General features: G+C 37.5%; 1 protein-coding gene and 1 pseudogene across 3 annotated transcripts in view; both read left to right on the plus strand.

Moving 5' to 3' along the window:
- The window catches only part of FREM2 (FRAS1 related extracellular matrix 2), a 200,055-nt gene that overhangs the window by 71,853 nt on the left and 103,885 nt on the right, over positions 1-24,317 (plus strand). For 2 of the 3 annotated variants that reach the window (XR_941571.3, NM_207361.6), the window contains exons 3-5: positions 5,375-5,521; positions 10,649-10,879; positions 24,141-24,266. Coding sequence is in view for 2 of the 3 variants with exons in the window: in NM_207361.6 (NP_997244.4) it covers positions 5,375-5,521; positions 10,649-10,879; positions 24,141-24,266 (504 nt within the window). In the remaining variant the exon portion in view is untranslated. Of the gene's footprint in view, positions 1-4,121; positions 4,282-5,374; positions 5,522-10,648; positions 10,880-24,140; positions 24,267-24,317 lie in introns of those variants that run through there. The other variant, XM_017020554.2, reaches the window with a different exon arrangement.
- On the plus strand, positions 20,495-20,587 carry RNU6-56P (RNA, U6 small nuclear 56, pseudogene; annotated as a pseudogene).

Raw genomic sequence — 24,317 nt, forward strand, 5'->3', positions numbered from 1 at the left:
GCCTGAGGTGGGAGGATCACTTGAGCCCAGGAGTTTGAGACTGCAGAGAGCTGTGATAGCATCACTGCCCTCCAGCCTGGTCAGCAGAGTGACACCATGTCTCTAAAACAATAACGAAAATCAAATGATCTAATTTCCCCAATAAGGTAGGTAATAATATTATTATCTTAATCTTTTCTCATATAAATATCTATATCTATTGCTGATTTAAAGGACTACATCCAGCTTTTAAAAATTTCTGTAGAGTTGATTTTCAATTCAGCTTTGAAGCTGAACTTTATTCTGGGCAAATGAGATTTTACCAAGCTAGAAATTACCAACAATATTTTCTATTTGTAACTATTCTCCAAGAAGAAATTTGTTGTCAAAGCTGAATGGACACGTCCCCTTTATCAAATACAAGTCAAAATTGTGGCACTAGTTTCATATTATTGAAGATTAAATGCTTTGTCTTTAGAGAGATCGGGCAGCCCTGAGCTTTTAGGGAGGGCTAATTGGAGTTTGGTATTCTTTGTTATTCTAAAAAAAAAAAAAAACGACTGAGTTTGAATTGAAGAAAATGAAGAAGTCTAAAGACCAGCTGGATAAGTTCAAAAGAGGTCTTTTCATCAAAACCTTAATGGCTTTGGTGTCAGGATTTGAAGACAGAGCATTTGGGAGTGTGGTTATCAGCTGTCAGGCACCTGTTGTGTGGATTTATGACTTGAGTCATGGACTTTAATTTTTTTCCAATGAGGTGCTGAGACTAGCTCCTCATGCACCATAGATGACAGAATCTATTTTAGAAAGGCAACAAATTTTGTTTAAGTAAAAATTTGTCAGTTTTTAACGTTATTTAACTTCATCTATAATTTCACGTTCAGTAAGCTGTAGCTTTTGTTAAAGTGCCAATGTTTATTATTTCCATGAATTGAGGTTTTAGAGGAGTTTACGTGATAGGTAACAAATTAGTAAATAAGGTATCTTTCTATTCTTTCAATAAAATACAGAGTTCAATTATACAAGGTCACAGTTTTAGTAAAGAGAGTTACAATAAGTTACAGCTTGGTTCCTCAAATCTCTATATCACTCTTGCGTAAGAAGTGAGTACCTAAGATTTTACAAATTCTGAAACCAAATCTGATTCACATGTGTAATGTACAGAAGAGTTATGTAGTATTTAATTCCATTCAGATTTAAGCTTTATAGACTGCATATTTTCTAGTTAAGTATCTGTTTCATTTATATTCTCTGGTTTAAAATCCCAGTGTTAGTGGGAATTCTAAATTTTCTATGATAGTTACTTTGGGCCATCTCCCTGTCTTACAAAGCAAAGCTTCTTTATATTTTTTCTGAATTTTATTTTGAAGTAAAATCTCAAGGTGGTGGTTGTACATATGAAATACTAGCAAACTGTTCAGCTATGTGTCATTCGAAACCTCTGATTAACCAGTAACCTGGCAACTTCGTCCTTTCAGAACATAGGCACAAACCTGAAAATAATTTTTACAGATATATAAGTAGAGATGAAATTAGGTATCTCTAAAACCATCCACAAAGGAAGTGGAAGGGTTAAATAGCCCTTTAGTCATCAATAATCCCTGGGAGTGTCATTTAGAGAAACACAAATTCCAATAATTCACATTTATGTATCACTTAAAATCTTTCAAGAAGTATGCAAACATTTTAGAAAGAGTGTCATTAAACCAATTACTGTTTTTTAATAAAAAGATTCAGTAATGAAAGAGATATGTTATGTTTACATAGAAAATTTATGTTGCTCAATAAATGAAGGACCACTAAACTTTCAGCCAAGACATTAGAGTTTCTAATTGATGCAATAGATGTTTTTCTAACAATAAGTTAAATGAGCTCCCAGAACTCCTGGATCATGTGTTGCAGTGGGAGAACACAGAAAATGACAAAAAAAAAATAGTAAATATATATAGGATATAAGATTTTGGAAAGTACCGTAGAGAAAAACTAACCAGAATAAAGGGGTAGAGAGGGCTGGAGTTTGCACTGGGCTTGCTGTTTTATAAAAACTGAAAAGAGAAGCCCTCAGTGACTCAATATTCTTAAAATGTGCCATATTTAGAAGAGAATGATATTTTCTGGAATATCTCAGGAAAGGGTTAGAATCAAATCTTAAAATTAGCTAAGAATTGTTAAAATTTAGAGGAATAGGGATTCCCAGGAAGAGGAGAAAAACTAAGGATGTCCTGGGCAGAAGATACAGCACATACAAAAACAGCCACCTTTGTTCAGAAAAGAGTGAGAGGTTGGATGTGAGAGGATGGATATTTCTCTTTAAGGGGAAGTGATAGGATGTGAAGTCATAGGTGTTAGAATGGACAAGAAAAAGCTTGGTAGAGCATGACAAGAAGTTTGGAATGAAACCTAGGCTTGCTGGGACCACAGTTTAAAGTGGACAGGAGTGTGGCATAAAGGTGTTTTCATCTGATAATTTGTTTTGAAATCAGAGCTGTTTTATGTACTAATTTAATCAATTGCATGTTATTCTATCTTTTCTATTACTTTCTAGATGATGTTCCAATTAATGGAACGTAAACACAATAATTTTTTAAAATATTTTTTAAAAACAATGAGAACAAGTATTGGCAATAATGAAAGAATGGATACTGTCAATTATTGATGTAAATTAGTACAATTTAGTACAATTAGTAAATTAATACAATTAAATATGAGAGGATACCCACTAAAGTGCACAACTATACAGAGTAATCAATAAGAGAACAGCTGCAGAACCACAAAGACATGAAAGGGCTGGAGCAGCTGCAGCTGCTTCACACAGGAGGGGGATAGAGCAGCAATAAGGAATGGAAAGTGTCAGCCAAGGAAGAATAGGGGTCCTCATTTTAGGCAAGAGGACAAGGGTGATGGAAAGAGTGAGGGTGGCAAATCCCAGGAGCTGCAAGAATCTTGGCTTGACCTCCAAATGGGCAGATTAGAGTGCAAGGGGAACAATCAGGGTAGGTCAGGATGAACCTGGAAATCTGCAAAGAAAAGTCCACTTGATATGGGCAAAAGCTGTAGGCAAGAGGGGCAAAGGAGAAAGGAGCACAGGTGGGTGTAAGGCAGACGAATAGTAGTCCAGCAGTGGGCATGCAGGGTGGGCTTGGGCATGCGTGGCGTGGCAGGGCAGAGTGAGCTTGCATTTGTTGAATGATACTATTGACCTCAGAGCACTGTGTGTGTGTATGGGTTACCTGAGTCGATCTTTGAAGAAATCACAGGCGCTAATTAGCGTCACCCTCACCTGACTCTCCAGAAAAGGAAACAGAGATCCAGAGAAGTAACTTGGTCAGAGTCAGACAGCAGCTAGAAGTGATGTGGGTGGGCCTTGGACTCCAGTTCTGAGGAGCCTCCTAGCCCATGGCCTCTCCTCTCCAGAACAGCACTCAGGGTGCAGCAGACATTGGGCATAGTAAGTTTAGTAAGTTTCATCAGCGCAAAATGTGGAATGAGTTTCCTTGTTAAACGGACAAACTGACACAAAATTCCTGCTCTCCAATCTTTTTTTTTTTGAGACAGAGTTTCACTCTTGTTGCCCAGGCTGGAGTGCAATGGTGCGATCTTGGCTCACCACAACCTCTGCTTCCTGGGTACAAGCGATTCTCCTGCCTCAGCCTCCCGAGTAGCTGGGATTACAGGCATGCGCCACCATGCCTGGCTAGTTTTGCATTTTTAGTAGAGACGGGGTTTCTCTATGTTGGTTAGGCTGGGCTTGAACTCCCGACCTCAGGTGATCCACCTCAGCCTCCCAAAGTGCTGAGACTACAGGCATGAGCCACCACGCCCGGCCCCAATCTATTTATATTTTATAGTTGATAAATTAACTAAAAATAGGAAAGTCCATAATCCCATCATTTAAAACACCAAGCAGCTTCTCCTGTATCATGTCTCATTTTACGAAGCTACATTCACAGTATCAGTACCATTTGTTGTTGTGTTTTTAAGTGTTTTCGGTGTTCCAACAACAATTTCATATTTATTGTTTGGGAGTTGAATAACATTTTATTGATTTGATACACTATAAGATAGTTTTTAAGGTTTGGGGTTATTATAGAAAATATTGCAATGAATAGTTCCTTACAAATATATTTCTGCTTCTCTTAAAGCAAAAATCCCACAGAAGGAGCGACAAGATTGAAGGATATAACCATCTTTTTGCCCCTTGCACACATTGGCACATAGCTGTCCAAAAGGCTTGTGCTAATTTGAAAGCCAAACAACAGTAAACAAGAAAACAATTTCCCTACATAATCTCAGTTGTACAAGGTATTCTCTTTAATCTTTAGTACCTGTTAAGTTGATAGCTCAAAGTTGCTGCAGTTTTTATTTTTTAAAAGTTCGAGCAAAGATGAATGTATTTTCATGTCTTCGCTCACTCAGCGTTTTCCCTTGTGTAGATTTTTTTTTTGTCGTCTATTAAAGTTTTGAGATTTTCCTCTTTCATTTCTTTTTCTATGTGAACTGCAAAGAGAAGAAACTAGAATGAAAACTGTGCCTCTAGCTGTGTTTGTTACTTGGGCTTTTTTTTTTTTTACACCCTCTTTCAGAAAGACTTAAAAGGCATTACTGATGCCTTTGTTTGTAAACCTCACCTTACTCTGAAATAATTGGTGTAGATCAAAGGAAGTAGAGGGATGCGTGCAGAGTGATCAGCTGATAACCATTTTTCCTTTCATTTACCCAACATAGTCGCTTTCACATTAGAGAGATCACACACAAGGTTTATTTTCTGCTGATAGGCAGCCCACTCCATTTTGGTGGGAAGATGGAAGGGGAAAACCTTATCTTCAGAGTGGAATGGAAATCAATGAAAAGAACTGTCTGTTTGCTCTAAGGAATGGAGTGGAATATAGTGGGGAAGGGAGGCGGAGAAGGGATATTTGTTTTTCCTTAAGTGGTTATAATTAAAACCTTCCACCCAATTGCTCTGTGAACCGGAAAAAGTATTTGTGAAGTTGTGTGTGTGTTTTTTAGAACATCACAAAGGAGCCTTGCAGCCCTCTGATTAGAAAACTTGCTCTCCAGTGGCACCTTGTGGGAAGTGAGTTATCCTGCAAGTTGGATATTTAGTTTTAGGATTAAACTAAATAGCCTCTGGTAGTTGTGCACTTCCTACCCATTACCTACTTCCCCTCCTAAAACAGCAAGGAATTTGTGAAGAATTATGTCAGCGATTGAATGTATGTGTAACAGTCTCTAGACTGTAAGCTGTATCTCCATGTACATATTCCAGAGTTGTGTATCAAACTAAGTAGCTGTATTGATTGTTAATGTTGTTTCATTAAAGTAATCTGTGGAATTTTGAAGATCACTCATTCAAGAAAGCACTAATTTATGGCTTTAAATTTTTATTTTCAAGGTGGAAACAAGTTAACGTACCAGAATTTTCGTCTGAATTGGGCATGGATCTCCTTTGAAAAGGAATATTACCTGGTCAATGAGGACTCCAAATTTCTAGATGTTGTTCTTAAACGTAGAGGTTACTTGGGAGAAACTTCTTTTATAAGTAAGTTTAATTTTTTATTTCTGTTTTAAAATTTTATTTTTCTAGCAAAGGTTTATAATTCTACAGTGATTAAAGTATCAGTTTAGTTCACTTAGAGCTTAAAGTTAAAATTTAAAAGTTCTCTAACTGCTAAAGAAACAAGCAACAGGTTTGTGTCAAGGTACTTATCTCTTCAAGCCTTCTGTGTACATATGATCTTTTTCTGGTATAAAAATTGGCAGGAACACTAATAAGTTACGAAACAAAAATAAATGTCACTAGATCTTAGAATGAGCTTAGGCAAATCTGTAATTTACCCGTAAGATAAAAGTTTTCTGAAACATGAGTATCGTGACCTTTCTTTGTAACAACAGTAAATTGTTAAATACTAATGATTTTCTTCTGCTTTACTTCGTTTAAATAAAACTAAGAGTCAGAAGCAAACGAATGAAACCTTTTTTCAACTCCAATTCAAGTTCATATTTGTTTTGTTTTGTTTGAGACGGAGGCTCGCTCTGTTGCCCAGGTTGGAGTGCAGTGGCGTGATCTCAGCTCACTGCAAGCTCCGCCTCCCAGGTTCACGCCATTCTCCTGCCTCAGCCTCTCAAGTAGCTGGGACTACAGGTGCCCACCACCATACCCAGCTAATTTTTTGTATTTTTAGTAGAGACGGGGTTTCACCGTGTTAGCCAGGATAGTCTCGATCTCCTGACCTCGTAATCTGCCCACCTCGGCCTCCCAAAGTGCTGGGATTACAGGCGTGAGCCACCGCGCCCGGCCTCAAGTTCATATTTGATTTTCATAGAAGCATAAAATAAAGTTGGCAGTATATTGGTACTTTTAAGCAGCAATATGGTTGGCACAAAATATTTAATATGTTGATAAAAATGGCAGCACCTGAAGCAACTATATTGTTTTTGGTACCATATATTTTATAGACATCTAGACCAATGGAATTTGCATGGGATAAAAAGAGATTTCATTGAGTGAGATTATCAACTAAGGTGGCAATCTGGGAAAATGTTGGCAAAGTAAAAAGTTAGTAAACCTATGCTTGTCTCCAAATGATTATTTTGAAATTTTACTGGGTCCATGAACTTCCAGATCCTCAAAGAGTAGACCTCTATGCACAGAAATACACACCCCTGCCACCCCCAACATCCCTCCCTGACACCCCCACACATCCCGCTGTAATTTTGCTGCAGCCAGAACCCCACCACTCTTTTTGATTTCCCCTGACATGTTTTGATTCTGAATATTAATTACCCCTTACTTTTAAAATTCTTTTTTTTTCCTTTTAACTTTAGAAGACCAGGTTTTCACACGACACTTTCCCTGTCTTTGAGGTTGCTCTGGTTGCAGGGGGGCTGGTCTCCCCGCGGCCTCACCCCCAGCCTCTGCTTCCATCTTCATTTTGCATGAGCCTCCACCTGGCTGTGCTTCTCATGCTTTGTATTTAGCCTAGGATATTCTGAGCACTCTCACTGCGCTCTCTTTTAGGGACATATTCTCTGTGCACATGTGCACATCCTGTCTTATCATCAGGGAGTGATTCGTCTTAACTCTGCTTTGTACTTGAACATATAGCAAATAAATCATGGGGAAAATGATAACTAAAAAACAGAGCACCTTACCGATTATTAAAAATAGGTTTATCTATTTTTTACCTGAGTTCCCACTCCTGGTGAGTTTATTTAATTTTTCACTCACAACAGGCCCCTGGATAACATTGGGAAAGTTAACAGTAGAAAAAGATTGTAAAATTATTTTTTTGCCTTTTTTTTTCTCCACTGCCTCTTTTTTCTTAAGCTGGATGCCAAAATGTCAAACAAGAGCTCTTTTTGTTGTTATTTTTTTCAATGCACTATTATTTTCTACGAATGTGGGGTTAACGGCAGTTCTACAAAGGCTCATAGGCTTTACTTGGTTCACTTCACATGGTTACTTAGTAACCTGGGGTGATAGAAAATTGGGAAGCCTTCTGTGTGTGGCCCACATCCTTCAGTCATTGAAGATGGTAACGGAATTCATGCTAGGACCTGGAATGGAAACCAGATTAAAATGAAGGGTAGCCTCATACAAGTTTTACAATGAATACGTTGCTTATAACTGTGCCCATACAACCTCTGCTTTTATTTATGGACTTTTAGAATGAGATAGATTGCATTATAGCAAAAGACAGAGTATCGCTTGAGTACAGCTAAGAAACCATGAATTACTGAAATTTGTAGATGTATATTCTCAAAGATTATTATTCATTTTATAACCACTAAAACTAATAAACTAGATATGTATTTATATTCCACATTAGTATATGCATTTCAAAGCTCTTATTGCTACCAGTTATTGAATATTTATTAAAGGCAAGGTACTTCATACGTACATTAAGCACTTTATCTATCTCTTTTATACCTTACATCCATCCTTTATTCCCTGACTCAACAAATATTTTATTGAGTACTCATTACATACCAGGGGCTGTGTTAGGTAGTGAACTATGAAGAAACAATGATAGCTAATGTTTATTGAGTTATTTGCTGGGCCTACTTCCCAATACCCTACCTAGGTCAACTCCATGAGAAGAGTACCATGAGGTGAGGAAATAGAGAGGCTGTGACATGTTTAAAGTTAGCCAGCTAGTAAGGGGCAGAGCTGAGATTGGGCAAAAGGCCCATGCTCTTAATCACTGCACCATAGTGCTTCATAAATCCTCCACTGAGATAAGTTAATAACTTGCCTACGATCCCACAACTGTTATATGGCCTGGATGGGATATAAAATCTATTCTCTCCTTCCACAAACACCCTGTTTAACCACTTTGTTATTTTTCTATGTCAGAGGAAAAGATCCAATTGCAGTTTCATTTAATAACAAAAGTGAAAAATTATAGGTGTTTTTAGCAGCAACAATTGGGATATGGTATTGCAACTCATTTAATATCAGATGGTATTGCAACTCATTTAATATTAGATGGCTTGACTATCGTGCAGGAAGGAGGACTAGTTGGAACTAGCAGACATTCATTGTATCACACTTACTCAATTTTTATTTTTAACTCCCTTTTGAAACTCCAAAAAAAACAAATAATGCATTGCTGATGAAAGAAAACAAAACAGAAAAGTGAGCAGTAGCTATCAGAGGCAAACTAACAGATTTTGCTGGTGATGCCACTGGGGATAGATGGGTCAGTGAGCAGCATGTGTTCTGGAACCTCAGAGAGAATGATTCCTTTCATCAGCATCTTGGCAGTGAATTGTAGTGGATCCAAGAGGTGCTGACAACCAACTCTGTGTGCACAAGGAACCAGAGAGCTGTCAGGAAGTCTACAGCATTCAACAAGATATGCAGCCCTGCAATTCCTGGTTCTGTGCCCTTTTTTCTCTTGCCATTAAATGAATCATGTTTTACCTGCTACTGTAAAAGAAAAATATGATGCAATATTTATGTTAGTTATTGTTCTGAGATCTGTAAGACAGAAATATTTTTAATAAAATCTTTTTCATCTTCACTTTAAGATTAAAATAACAGTCATTGATATATTCCTATATATAAATACATATTCAAATGACTCTTATATAAGCACTACGAAGGCAAGAGTTTTTGTCTGTTTTGTTCTCTGATACAGCCCCAGCACATGGAATAGAGCCTGGCATGGAATAAGTACTCAATGAATATTTGTGGTTGAATGGATCTTATTTAGTTCAGTTTCATTTCTAGTTTGAAGAACAAAAGGAATTTTTCAAAAGTATAATTTTTAACTAAATGCAAAATCTTCCAAATAACTTATTTTCAAGATTTAAAAAATCTATCACAAGACTTTATTTTTCCCTCTTTTATTTATTTATTTATGCATTTATGTATTTTTAATTTTTGAGGCAGGCTCTCACTCACCCAGGCTGGAGCACAGTGGCATAATCACAACTCACTACAGTCTTGACCTCCTAGGGCTCAGGTGATCCACCTCAGCCTCCCCAGTAGCAAGGACTACAGGCATGCGCCACCACACCCAGCTAATTTTTGTCTTTTTTGTAGAGATGGGGTTTCACCATGTTTCCCAGGATGGTCTGGAACTCCTGGGCTCAAGTGATCCACCCACCTCGCCCTTCCAAACTGCTGGGATGATAAACCTGAGCCACCATGCCCAGCCTTATTTTTCCAACTCTTTTACATCTGTCTGTCTTACCCACTTCTCTGAAAATGCTCAGGTTTAGAGAAATATATTTGAAAATTATTCTATTAACTTGACTCATTAAGAGGTTCTGGTTCTGTATTTAAGGATATAGAAGTCCAAGTACCATTGCCGTTTTATAATTTTTCTATGACATTGAATGTTTTCACTGCTTTTGGATAATGTACCCTATGGTTTGAGTACCTGGCATGGTAATAATGGAGATCATCTTGCGATGTAGTTAGAGACCCAGAGATCCTTCAACCTTCCCAGCTAACTGAAATTGACCTTGAATGAACTACCAGAGTAAGCCAAGCATACTGCTCATAATAACCATATATATTTAGCTCTCCAATTCTGTTTATTTAATTTCATGGAATTCTGGGGTGTTCCAGAAAGAAAAATTTTGCAGTGACCATGTTGAAAAACACTGAATTACATTTTTTAAAGGATCTTAGTTCCATTAAGTGCTTAGAGAATACTATCACTTTTTATTATTCCACTTGGCCATTTATGACTTAGATTGTGAGTCAGAGAATTCTTTCATGGAGGAGTTTCTTATTGGCTTATATTTTATAGTTAGAGAATGTTTCTTATTTTTTTTATAATATCCAGGAACACATGCAAAAGTAAATGTGAAGAGTTTTAAGATTGTATAACTTGTAGGAGTAAGGATATTGAACAATGTGAATATACATTTACTTGGTCTTGTTTGACAAGAAGTTCTAATCCAAATGTAGCTTAAAGCATATATAGCAAAACCATAATTGAGGCAAAAGCAGAACAGAATCACAAACTACCCAACACCTACAGTGAAACACTTTCATCATCAGACCCATTCCCAATTTTCCATTTCATGAGGTCAAAGCAGGATCAACTTTGCTTTTCAGGATAAAATGACATGCAAAAAGTTAACAAGGAAAATCTTAATAATCCAAGCGAAAATGAAACTAAGAAAATGATATTATGTTTTTGTGAAGGTATTGGCACAAGAGACAGAACTGCAGAAAAAGACAAAGACTTCAAGGGCAAAGCACAGAAACAAGTGCAGTTCAACCCAGGCCAGACCAGGGCCACATGGCGAGTGCGGATCCTGAGTGATGGGGAGCATGAGCAGTCTGAAACCTTTCAGGTGGTACTCTCAGAGCCCGTGCTGGCTGCCTTGGAATTCCCCACAGTCGCCACTGTTGAGATCGTTGATCCAGGAGATGGTAAGAGCCATCGTCAACTGGTTTATGTTGTTGCTGTTGGGCTGCTATGACAAAATACCTTGTAGGGGTATAGCTTACAGTTTTAAATTCAATGTTTGAAATTTCCATAGAGAGAACCTTCTAGATTAATGATTCATTATTCTCAGATGTGTTGACAGGAAAATGGAAACTAAAAAGTAACGAAAGAATGCTATATATGTATAATATGTATAATATATAAATATTTATATAGTATATATAAATTGTATTAATAGATTTTATGTATATATAAACATAATTATATTTTCCAGCTAGTACAATTTTCATATTACCAGAAAATCTTTTATTTTATGTATATAAATTATTTACATATTTTATATAATTTTATATATAAATTATTTACATATTTATATATAATTGAATATATATACACATATATATAAAATCGTTTGTAAAGACACGGTCTTGCTATGCTGCCCAGGCTGGTCTCAAACTTCTGGCCTCGAGCTATCCTCCCAACTCAGCCTCCCAAAGCACTGGGATTACAGGTATGAGACACTGTGCCCAGCCAGGGATGCTATACTTTTCCAAGTAAATGAACTACCCATAGAATTACCAACATGTTCTTCCTGTTATTATAATTCTATCATTTAATATTGCTCATGTCATTTTTAATGAATTAATTCATCACTTTTTGGAGTCCTTTAAATGTCTTAACATATCTTTGAAACAAACGGTTTGAGAATGAGATCATTCTTGAATTAATGTGTTCCCCATATTACTTTTAATTATTCAAGATTTCTTTATATATTTACCAGCCAAAAATTTTTATTTGGCCATATGTTTCCACATTTGTGGCATAATACCCACCCCACCCACCCCCATTTTGTAGTGAACACAGTGTTTTGAATCATTGCTGTTAATTTCTGTCAGATTACATTTTCTTGTCAATGCACACCTTGGCTGATGCTGGTAAAAGTGAACCTTAATGCTTTTGTGTGTAATTTGACCTTTTTATTCCCCGTCATACTTCTACAGTCCTGGCTTGTCTTGATCTAGTCAGAAAGTTTTAAAAAGAAAAAAAAAGAAAAAGAAAAAAGATTGAATAGCTTTTTGAGGGCTGGCATTTATACAAACCGTATAGAAACATCTAAAGCTAGGATCCTGTCAGAAGCCAGACATGACTTTCTTTTAAACTTCCAGCCTACTTTATTTTGTCAGTCAGAAAACTCTTAAATGGTTTGCAAAGATACAATCTACAGAGTACATGAAATGGAGACCTGTGTGGAAATCCCTGTGTTAAAAGACTAAGCATAATTAAAGAAAGTGAATAAGAAAACTGGAGCTCTGACATCATTTGTTTAACTAACAACTCTGCCTTTAGTTAAATATGAAGTTCAATTATGTTTGTAATTTTCATTAAAGAATAGTTAGCATTTACTTACATTTAATTGTATCTGCATTATCCAGAGATAAATAACTAAACTTTCTTTTGGTCCTGAACTTTGCACATATGCTTGAAAAATAAAGCTTTTCTCTTTTAAACAAGCCCAGGACAGCTTTAATACATATAAATTGACTCGTTAGTTAAAACTGGAAGCCATTTTTTGATATTTCATTTCCCAACTAGTACAATTGCCGTATTACCTGAAGAAATAAGACACTTGAATTCATTTCTGCCTTCCTATTTATAAGCTCAGAGTGACACTCTGCACCCATGATATATCTAAGCAGTAGGATATTAAAAACAAAACAAAACACATACGCACACCCCACATACACAGCCCCCCACTTATATAATCTTTTCTTAGTGTAGGCTATACCAAATGAAACTTTGCCATAATTTCATTTCATGTATTGATAATCTAAGTTGTTTCAGAATTTTATAGATAAAATTCAGCCCTGTTTATTTCAAGTCATGAAAATCCTTGGATAACTGATAAGTCTTCCATAATGCTTGGTATGCTCTGTGCCTTGTTGAAGACCATTGGTCTTGAAACCCAACTCTATTTCTAGTTGTATGACCTGAAATAAAACAGCTTTTAATAAAATTTAGTTTCCTAATGCACAAAATAAGAAAAAGTAATAATTATCATGTTACAGCATTCCCATGAAAGAGTTCTATAAAACATAAAGCAGAATGCAAATATTCTTACTTCTAACATCATAAATCTAATGTTAGATTTCATTTTAAGAAATTGAGTATTTTTTTTCCCTTACAAAGGATCACTTTTCCCCCCATTTAAAAACTTTGTTTCCTTTTGTACTCTCTCTCCAGCTCTTTGCATATAAATTCACCTGCCCTAGGAGCCGTTATGCCTACAAGCTCTCCCTCTGCATATTCATTCTAGGACATGTTATGATGTTTTGTTTTCAAAATTAAAACAAATTTAAAAATTAAAATTTTACATTAAAAATTTATCCAGCTCATATTTGTGCTGGGTACAGCACTATATATTGGGAATGCAAAGATAATAGCATAGAATCTCTGCTGTCAAAGACCACAGGGGATGGGAAAGAGAGCCCTTTAACTTATCACAGCAGAATGTGATGTGATAAAACAAGGTATGAAGAGTATTGGGACGTTTAGAAGAAGGAATAAACAACTCGGCTTTATTTTAGGCTGGGAACTGGTTTTACTTATTAGCAAGTTTATGTAAACATATGTAAGTCTATGCTTTTCTCATTACTTTATAATGGTAACGACTGAAATTCGTTGAGCAGTTACTATGCAACAGACAGTGTGTTTAGCACATTATATACGTTCTCTCATTCAGTCCCTTGTAGACATATGAACCATTTTAGGCATTTTACTTGATGTTTACAGGAGGCTTTCAATTTTATATTTGGCAAGTTTTGGAACATTAGTTCCAAAATTATATGACAAAAAGAACTTTCTTTTTTTCTCTCTCTCTTTTTTTTTTTTTAGACGGAGTTTCGCTCTCGCTGCCCAGGCTGGAGTGCAGTGGCGCCATCTTGGCTCACTGCAACCTTCGCCTCCTGGGTTCAAGCAATTCTCCTGTCTCATCCTCCTGAGTAGCCTGGATTACGGGCGGTTGCCACCACGCCCGGCTAATTTTTGTATTTTTAGTAGAGACGGGGTTTCACCACGTTGGCCAGGCTGGTCTGGAACTCCTGACCTCAGGTGATCTGCCCGCCTCGGCCTTCCAAAGTGCTGGGATTACAGGGGTGAGCCACCGTGCCCAGCCCAGAACTTTTTAACACACACACAGACACATATACATGTATTGGCTTCTCACATTTTATAATTATGGTCTTACAATGCCATGTATCCATATATTTTTTAAATTATATAGTTGTTATATAGGTGAAGATTTTAAATGACTATGTATTTTATTTAATACATCAGTGTCTACATCACTGAAAAAGTATCACATACAGTTATATGCTTGCTTATTTCTTTAACCTGGTCCAATACTCAGTGCCCTCATGGATATACTGTAATACCTCACCCCCTGCCCCCATGCCTCCAAGTGTCTGTGGCTCTCTGGTTGGGAACCATGGCTCTGCGATCAATAGAGCTGACCCTCATGTAAAGAGTGAGTTCAGTCACTCATTGAGATTGATTCTACAGTCTCCCCCACACCCCCTTTTTTTTTCGAGACGGTATCTCACTCTGTCGCCCAGGCTTGAGCGCAGTGGAGCTATCATAGCTTGCTGCATCCCCAAACTCCTGGGCTAAAGCAAAGCTCCCACCTCAGCTTTCCAAGCACCTAGTATTAGAGGTACACACCACCATGCCCAGATAAGTGTTTCCTTGTTTCGTTGTGTTTGTTTGTTTTTTTGATTGGTTGTTTTTTTTGTAGAGACAAGAGTCTTACTATGTTGCCCAGGCTGGTCTTGAACTCCTGGCCTCAAGTGGTCCTCCTTGGCCTCCCAAAATGTTGAGATTACAGGCATCAGCCACCACACACAGCCTCTTCTTGCTTTTAACATGCGCATAGAAAGTTCCAACTGGGAAGGGTTTAAAGTTCATGAAACATTTAACTCATTTTCTGGATGAGGAATCTGAGAAATAGAGCTTTGAAAACTTACCTCATTTAAACCTTATGTTTATAACTCTGTGATTTATATATCAATTTACAAAGATCTCTGAGGGTCAAGGAATTTACTTTCCCCAAGTCACCCAACTAATAAGTGCCAGAGGCAGTATTTAAAAAAAATATGTATAAAATATATAATAAAACTAAACAATATATATTCAAATATATATATTGTTTCCCCCTCTAGAGCTCTTCTTTCCCCTGAGTTATGTTCTTCTATCATTTTACATGGTTAGAAAAGAAGTAATATCCCAAATCCTAATTAATCAGTGAACTTATCACTGTGACGTTGTTTTACTTATCTTGTATATGAAAACAACACAGTAATTTCTTCCCGTCTTATGCTCTTCTCTTTTCTCTTTCTATTATATATTAAGCCTCAAATTTATTATATAGGTGAATAAAACTAAGCATTCTAAGAAAATAATCAAGACCAATTCAGCTCCTGCATAATGTGTCTGTATATTCAACAAATGCTTATTAAACATCTACTCTATGCCAGGAATGCTGCTAGGATCTAGGTAGTAGAGAAGAAGGCATACTAACCCTTGAAGTTAATCATATAATTAGGTGATTGCATTCCCCTAGATTGTTACAATTAACAATATAGAATGCTACGTGCTCTGATAAAAGAGCAACTGGAGCCCATAGAAGGAGTATCTATGGAGTATCCAGTCTTGAGAGAGAAGGAAAGGCTTCTAGGATAAAGATTCTTAACCTCCGTGTATTAAGTTACTAAGCTGTCAGAAATTAACACTATCTTCCCTTGCTCTTTAAAGCATATAGATATTAGTTAATGTTAAACATTTCCATTTTTGTTAAGGGAAAATATACAAGAGCTAAGACGTCTGATTTTATATAAAGATCCCATTCTTTTTTGACTTAGTAATTTCTAGCCAGAGTAAATGGAGTTCTATATACATTTATTGGGAGAAAACAACCTCAAATATAGAGGTATTTGAATACAGATACTTAGTACAGGTACCTAAAGCCTGTAATAGTTTATGTAATTATTTAGTTTGTACACTTGAAATGTCTGCCAACTTCTGATAGAAACTGAGTCATTCTGATATTTCCATGATACCAAAATATGGCCAGGAACCAGTGGATTAAATATTTGATCTCTGTAATCATTTCTGGTGGGCCCATGGCAGGTTAATGCCATATAATATTTAATAGAGAATAAACACATTATTTTAAAGGAATGTAGAACTTAACATTAAAGGTTAAAAACCTAATATTAATGAGTACAAAGAAAAGACAAAAATCTGTATTCTGAATGAGCCAAACCGATTTCATATGATAGAATTCAGATGACATAGGCTGACTACAATATGAAACTCAAACATTCATTCTTATTTTTGAAATTCTACACGTTGTCAGTGTTGACATAAGGAGGTCACTGGCTAGCTGATATTTTGAGGTGAATGTGCCAAAATTCAAGGTCCAGAATTAATGAAACGATAGTACGCTGCAGATGATGATACAGAAATGATAAAGCAGGCATGAGAGAGCTTCAACTTCAGTGAGAGTCAAACCATTTTTTAAAAAGAAACTATCAGTGTGAAGCATAGGTCGTCATCTTAAGGCAAACAAAAAATTTCAAACACTTGCTAAAAGTATAGCACATAGTTTCTGACACTGAGTAGTGGATAAGCAAAAAAGGTGCAAAATAAAACTTGCATCATGAAAAACTTTCTGGAAATTTCTCCATTTACAAAACAAAAACATTTAATAATTCAAACAAAGATTACCGAAAGATTCACTTTATTTACTTATTTATTTAGAGGCAGAGTCTCACTCTGTCACCCAGGCTGGAGCGAAGTGGCACAATCTTGGCTCACTGCAGCCTCCGCCTCCCCATTAAAGTGATTCACCTGCCTCAGCCTCCCAAATAGCTGGGATTACAGGTGCACACCACCATACCCAGCTAATTTTTGTATTTTTAGTAGAAACGGGGTTTCACCATGTTGGCCAGGCTGGTCTCGAACTCCTGACCTCAAGTGATCCGCCTGCCTTGGCCTCCCAAAGTGCTGGGACTATAGGTGTGAGCCACCACACCTTGCCCCAAAGATTCACTTTAACCAACACATTTGTATAGTAGTACCAAAGGATAATTTTTGGACCTCATGCTATCTTGATGTGAACTCATAGCACTTATTATCATGTGGTTTGGGTATGTTTACATTACTTTATTTCTTTTTCAAGACCCTGTAAAAATTAGTCTATATTACTATGTCTGTCTTAGAGTAAAACAAACAAACCATAGAAATGTAAGAAAGCTGTCCAAGTTCAAATAGATAAATGACAGACTCTGCTGTATTCAATGCCACTTGTTGGCCAGTCTGAGGGCACCATAGTGGCCTGAAAATGCACTGGAATCTGGAATGTCTTCTGAGTTGTTTTTGAATGTGCCAAATTTCTTAAAGGCAAGGAACCATCAGTGCCTTCATCCATGTACTCTATTTTCTTTTCCTTTCTTGTTCTATTATAGCAGATTTTTAGAAGATATTTTGTTCTATCATTGTTTAGCAGAGTCTGTTTATTTTTTATCCTCTGTGGAATATAATTGAGAGAAGGTATAAAATGTACATTCTCTTTCAAATGAAGCTACAACTACTTTATGTCTGAGAACAGAGAAATCAATTTTGCCTGTTGTAGCACAGTCAAAACCCAAAAATAAGAACTGCAGTTACAAATTGCAGTACTCATTACAATATAGTCACATGGACTAATAAAGAATGCATTCACTTTACTCTTTCTTTCAAAATAAAGGGTAATTAAATCAATCTGGAAGTATAAAAGTAACACATGTTCATTGTCAAAAACGAATACAAGATGTTAATAATGGTGGAAAATGAGAGGGAGTGAAGGGATATATGGGAACCATATGCACTTTCTATTCATTTGTCTCTAAATCTAAAACTGCTAAAAAGAAAAAAAAAAAACCCAGAGGTCTATTCACTTAATTTCAAAAAGTCATTTGCAGCCTTACCACTTGAGAGTAACCATTGTTAACATTTGAGAGCACGACCCTGCAGTCATTTTTTTTCTATGAGAGTTGACTATTTCTATAATGTAGCCCTTAACTGTCTCTCAGTGAACACCTTCACAAAGACAGCAGCAGTTCCAATCCAATGTGTTAATGGGATTTGACATGTGTACTTTTATATTATGATATACATATATTATATTCCATATACATACTAATATACTATATACTTTATATACTTTTTCATAATACTTGTGAAGATTTATTAATATGCATATTGTACATATATTATAAAAGTATACATACTTTTTAAATTGTGTATGTATACAATCATATATATATAATTTCTATGAAAATACTGGATTTTAAAAAGAATTCTCAAAATATTTGTTTCTAACTTCGTTTTTTCTGATTCTACTGCAATGGCCATCTCTCTGCCTTAGCAGTACTTCGTGTTGCTCTTTTATCATCTCAATTTAGCCTTTTGTTTTTCTCTGGTGTAAGTGATGCTCCCACTCCTGGCTAACCTGAGCAGTTTTCTCTTAGGCAGTAATGTGTAGTGGTTACGAGCCTGGGCGGGCTCTGACATGGAGTTTCTGGGTTGAAACCCCAGCATCACCACCTACCAACCTAACTTTCAGCTGCTCACTTAACATACGTGTGCCTCAGAGGTAAAGTGAGTCATAATAATTCTTACCTCAAAGGTTGTTGCAAGGATAAAACTAGCCAATCATGTGAAGTGTTTAGAATAGAGCTTAGCAAATAATGAGAACTCCATGCCTACTAGCTAAGAATTTTTAAGGGTAGTCTACAAATGCCACTTTTAGGAATTTTGCACTTAAAGCTCTATGCTTACTTGAAGCAGCCTGCATAGACACTTCCATTGTATTTATAACGTGAAGTTGAAAAGGAATGTTAACAGAAAAATCTATCAGGGAAGCCTTTCTTTGTCTCTGTGATACCCTTTTCCAGTTTTTCCCACAGCCTACATATTTCTGTTAGAAGTTAGGTCAACAGAAGACCTAAACTTGATACTGGGCCTATTTACTCTGTCAGATTGACTGTAGGAGTGAATTCCAGAGCGAAGGGCACAGCCCAGACACTCGGTTTTCTTTTTTATTCCTAATTCAAACTTACTGGCACTGGCAAGAAGTCCTGGCTTGTTTAATCAAACCTGCATGTGTCATAAGGCCTAGGAAGAATCAAAACTCAGGTGCTTGAGCTTTAAATCTTTAAAAAGATTATTAAATTAAAATCCCATACATGGACCACTTCTGAATAACTTATTTGAAAAGAAAACCCTGGCCAGTATAGATTAGAAGTATAGAATGAATTATGAATAATCAACCCTGTCTTAGTCAGCTCAGGCTGCTATAACAAAATGCCACAGACTGGGGTGGCTTAAACAACAGACATTTCTTTCTCACAGTTCTGGAGGCTGGAGAATCCAAGACTGGGGTGCCAGTAGATTTGGTTCCCGGTGAGGGGCCTCTTTCTGGCTTGGAAATGGCTACCTTCTCTCTGAGTCTTCAAAAGACGTTTCCTTGGTGCATGCTCATGGAGAGAAAAATACCTCTGTCTTCTTCTTCTTATAAGGACACTAATCCCATCCTGAGGGCCCCACCCTCATGACCTCACCAAAGTACCTCCCAAAGGCTGCATCTCCTAATACCACTGCCTTGGGGATTAGGGCTTCAACATATAATACAGGACGAACACAAACATTCAGCCCATAACAAACCCTAAAGGATGAGAATAGATGGACACATAGCGGGAAACAACACACACTGGGCATTTCAGAAGGTGGAGGGTGGGCGGAGGAAGAAGATCAGGAAAAATAACCAATGAGTACTAGGCTTAACACCTGGGTGATGAAATAATCTGTGCAGCAAGCCATCGTGGCACACATTTATCTATGTAGCAAACCTGTACTTGTACCCTGAACTTAAAAAAAAAGTTAACAAAAACTCTAATAAATCAAACTTTCTGTAATATTTCATACTAATGCCACAGAGTCCATGACCTGAAGACTGCCAAAATCTAGGTGATACCGGAGCACATTTCCATAAGTTAATGAAAACAAACTCACTAAAACTAATTGAATATTTGACTTGAATTTTCAGTGATACTTGGTGTATTATTTGTACTCAAGTCTTATGATAATTTCTACATTGAAATTTTATATTTGGTGAAAACCTTACTTCATAATAATAGGTGTAATTCTTGCTTTTACTAAAACTCATCTTAAAAATAAACCGGCATTCTCAGCAAACTAACACAGGAACAGAAAACCAGACACTGCATGTTCTCACTCATAAGTGGGAGTTAGACAATGAGAACACAGGGACACAGGGAGGGGAACAACACACACTGGGGCTTGTCGGGGGGTGGAGGGAAAGGGGAGGGAGAGCATTAGGACAAATACCTAATGCATGCAGGGCTTAAAACCTAGATGACAGGTTGATAGGTGCAGCAAACCACCATCGCCCATGTATACCTATGTAACAAACCTACACGTTCTGCACTTGTATCCCAGAACTTGAAATAAATTTTTTAAAAAAAGAATATTAAAAAAAAAAAGTACTCACTTGGGCAGGTCACATACTGAAATTGGAGTTAGCACGGCCCCTGTGCAAGGATGCCAAGCAAATCTGTGAAGCGTTTCGTATTTTTGCTGCCTGAGTGATGGTGAGGATGTCCCTAGCCACCAAGATTGCTGATACACAAGTAAAAAAATAAAAAGTAAAAACCAGCAAAGACATTTCTCTCCATGTCACTTGTTTCCATTTAAAGCAAAACTTCTTGAAATAAATGCCTATGCCCGGTGTCACCTGCTCCTCTCCTCACACACTCTCTTAAACCTACTTATTCAGGCTTTATTCACCCTCTACTTCACTGGAACAGTTCTGGTGAAAATAGCCAACTTTTGGTGACATCCATTTGCTAAATCTGATGATCACCTCTCAGTTCTTCACTCATGTGACATGTTAGCAGCTTTTGAAACAACTGATCACTCCCTTTTCCTTGATATGCTTTTTGTAACTGGCCTCCGGGGCCCACACTCCTCTGGTTGTCTTCATCCCTAGGACTTTTTCTCAGCCTCATTTGCTCGGTTTTCTTTATCTCCCTGACTTCTAAGTGCCCCATGGTGAATCCCTAGATCCATTCTCTTCTTTATCTATAATCCTCCCCTGTGTGATTTTATTTTGACTCGTGGCTCTACATACCATCAACATGTTCAGTTTAGATTTCCATTCGGACCTCTCCACTGACATCCATGATTCTATACCCAAATGGCTAATTTGACATGTCAGCTTGGATATTTAAAAGGAACCTCAATTTTAATATGTTTAAAATGGAACTGTGGATTTCCACTCCTAAATCTGATTCTCCTGAAGTCTTCCTCACCTGTATACCTAGCAATTTCATCTTTCCAGTTGGTCAAGACAGCAAAACTTGGAGTCATCCTTTATTCTTCTGTTTCTTGCGCATACCACACCTGGTCCGTCAGAAAACTCAAATAGCTCTACCTTTATATTCCGGCATGCAGCCCTGTCATTCCACCTCCACTGCCACTGCCTGGTCCAAGCTTCTATGATCGCTTGCCTGCATGGTTGCAAAATCTCCTGATCAGGCTCTTTACTTCAACTCTTAGACCTGGTGTCTCTTTATCTTACAGCAGTCACAACTTATGTTCTTAAAGTATGTCAGATTATGGAAACCTTCCCCCCATCTCCAAAGCCTTCTAATGATTTCATATTGAGAGATTGAATGTAAAAAGCCAGTAGCCAGACCACACATTAAAATACAACTCTGCAGCACAACCTACAGCAACCGGAAAGCCAAAGACAACTTTTTTGGCAATCAGCCTCCAGTGGTCAGGATCTGATGATGGCTTTCCTAATTTTTGTCTCCACTTTGAATTTTGGAACAACCAGACAGAACCATATATGCACCTCTAACCATAGGATACCCCACTTCTAGTTAATCCACTAGAGCTTCCCCATGCCAACAGCCTCCAATGAGGTCACACCTGAAGCCTTCCCTTTTTTCCACTATTAGGCATTCCTGCTTCTCTGCCTGTCTTTGAGTCTTTATCAAAACACAGGTGATAGTGGCTGATTCCATTGCTAAAGCAAGCTCTGAATAAACAGCACTTGCTTGTTCTCATCCCATCTGGTCTTTGTTTATTTCTATATCTTACTCTGAGTAAAAACCAAAGGTCTTCCAATAGTCCTGAAGGGCTCATGTGACCTGCCCACCACCCACCCCTTCACCACCTCTCTAGCCCTCATATCTTAGGCTCTCCTTCTTGTCCAATTTGCTTCAAGCACACTGGCCTCCTGGCTATTCCTTGTACACACTTGGCACAACCTGCCCCAAGGCCTTTTTCACTTGTCCATCCATTTACCTGGAATTCTCTTAAGTTGTTCATATGGGACATTTTATTACTACCTTCCAATCTCAGCTCAAATGAGATTCTAATTCTACCAGAGACTTTTTTTTTCGACTTTCCTGTGTATCTTAGGCCCCTCTACTCACACCCTGTCCAGCCACAGCTTTCCCTGTCACCCTCAGCATATTTTATTTTATCCATATGTCCCTAATATACTACTTATTTTCTTGTATACATATTTTCTTCCTCCTCCCCACCCCTCAACTATAATAAAAACCCTATGAGGCCAAGGATTTTGTTACTTCTGTATCCCCTGCACAGTATCTGGCAAGTCGATGTCACCCAATCCATATTTGATAAATAAATAATTAGTTACAAAATCTTATATTCACAGATTTCTTAAAATGGGGGCTTTTTAAAAATTAGTATGTCAGTCATAACTCCAGGAGAAAACAAATAGCACACTGAAAATGAGTAATTTAAAAAGAATTGAATCACGTGACTATTTTAGAAAGGAGGGGGCAAAGATCTGTTAATACCTAGGCATGGTAAAATGCTTCGAGGCTAATGAGAGCAGCCCCATCACCACCTCTAGGCACAGGACAGGAGAGGCTAGCTGAGCCCAGAGAGTGAGCTAGGCCCTAGGCCTTCCACAGGCACTCTAACCTTTTGTGGAGGGTGTGCAGCCAGCTCTGGAAACCCTGAGGGAAACCAAGGGAATAAACGCCTGGCCCACTCTGCTTTTGCCCTCCAAGTTCCTTCCTGTATTCCCCATTGGCCGACCCAACCAGGAGCCAGAATGTAAGGGAAACATTAGGCGTGGTTCCCATTTGTCAGCTCCTGGGGCACAGCGCAGGGTGAAGCAGGGTGGAGCATGGACCTCCAAGGCTGTATCTGCTGTTCCAGCAGTCTTTTATAATTTTTAAGTCATAAGGTTAACTGTTTTAAAAATAATCATGAAGTGTTTTCTGTGTGGGTGTGAGACTGTCTGTGAAACAAACTCCCAGTCAAATCCCAGAGTATCTGTTTGGGGTTTACAATGTCAAACCATTGTACTAAATGGTTGTTATTGTTTTACATGATAACTGCATTTTTTTTTAACAATTTACTTTTGCCATTTTTATTATTTAACATGCCCTTTGACTGTGTTAAAAAAGAATCATTGGTAATATTGTATATGTTATTCTGTCAGGAGTGAAAGGGAGCCACGGAAATATTCCTTATAGCTGATAAATAGATTTATCAATTCTAAGGGAACAGCTATTTTTTAAAATGTTGAACAATGTATTATTGTAACTTTAATCATGAATTGTCCAAAAAGAACTCACTTTGGATGAAAAGAACAGCAGAACAGACATTTCAAGATCTGAGTTCTAATCCTGACTTGGCCAGCCATTGACAAATAGGTTCAACTATGCGAGCCTGAGTTTCCTCATCTGCAAAGTGGGAGATGGGACAAGATGACTTTTGAGGTCATTTCCACCTCTCAAGTGGTGCTCCATTGGAAGGTGTTAATGTGTGCCAAGAGAACAAAGTTAGATTTATAAAAACTGTGTCAGCATGACTTATTTATTTAGAAGAAAGCAATTACTAGAGATATAAGCCATGTTGGGTTTTGTTTTTAGATTTCAGAATTCACTGGCCCAGAGCCTATTCCCTTTATACCCACTTCTTTTCCCCTCTCCTTCCTCCTTTTCCTCCCACTATGTTATTCTAAAGAATATTCAAGGGGGAAAAATCAATCATTAGAGAAATTTTAATTCTGTATGATTGTTTCAGAGGTAAGAAGCTCAGACAAAAATAATGCTTGCAATTGTGTTTTCTCTCTAGAGCCAACTGTGTTTATTCCCCAGTCCAAATACTCCGTTGAAGAAGATGTTGGTGAGCTGTTCATTCCCATCAGGAGGAGCGGAGATGTGAGCCAGGAGTTGATGGTGGTCTGTTATACCCAACAAGGTAGCTCGATTTGCCGAAAAACTAAGATAACCCCCAAAAGATATAAATAAG

This window comes from Homo sapiens, chromosome 13 (genome assembly GCF_000001405.40).
Source record: "Homo sapiens chromosome 13, GRCh38.p14 Primary Assembly".
In the NCBI taxonomy this organism is placed as follows: Eukaryota; Metazoa; Chordata; class Mammalia; order Primates; family Hominidae; genus Homo; species Homo sapiens.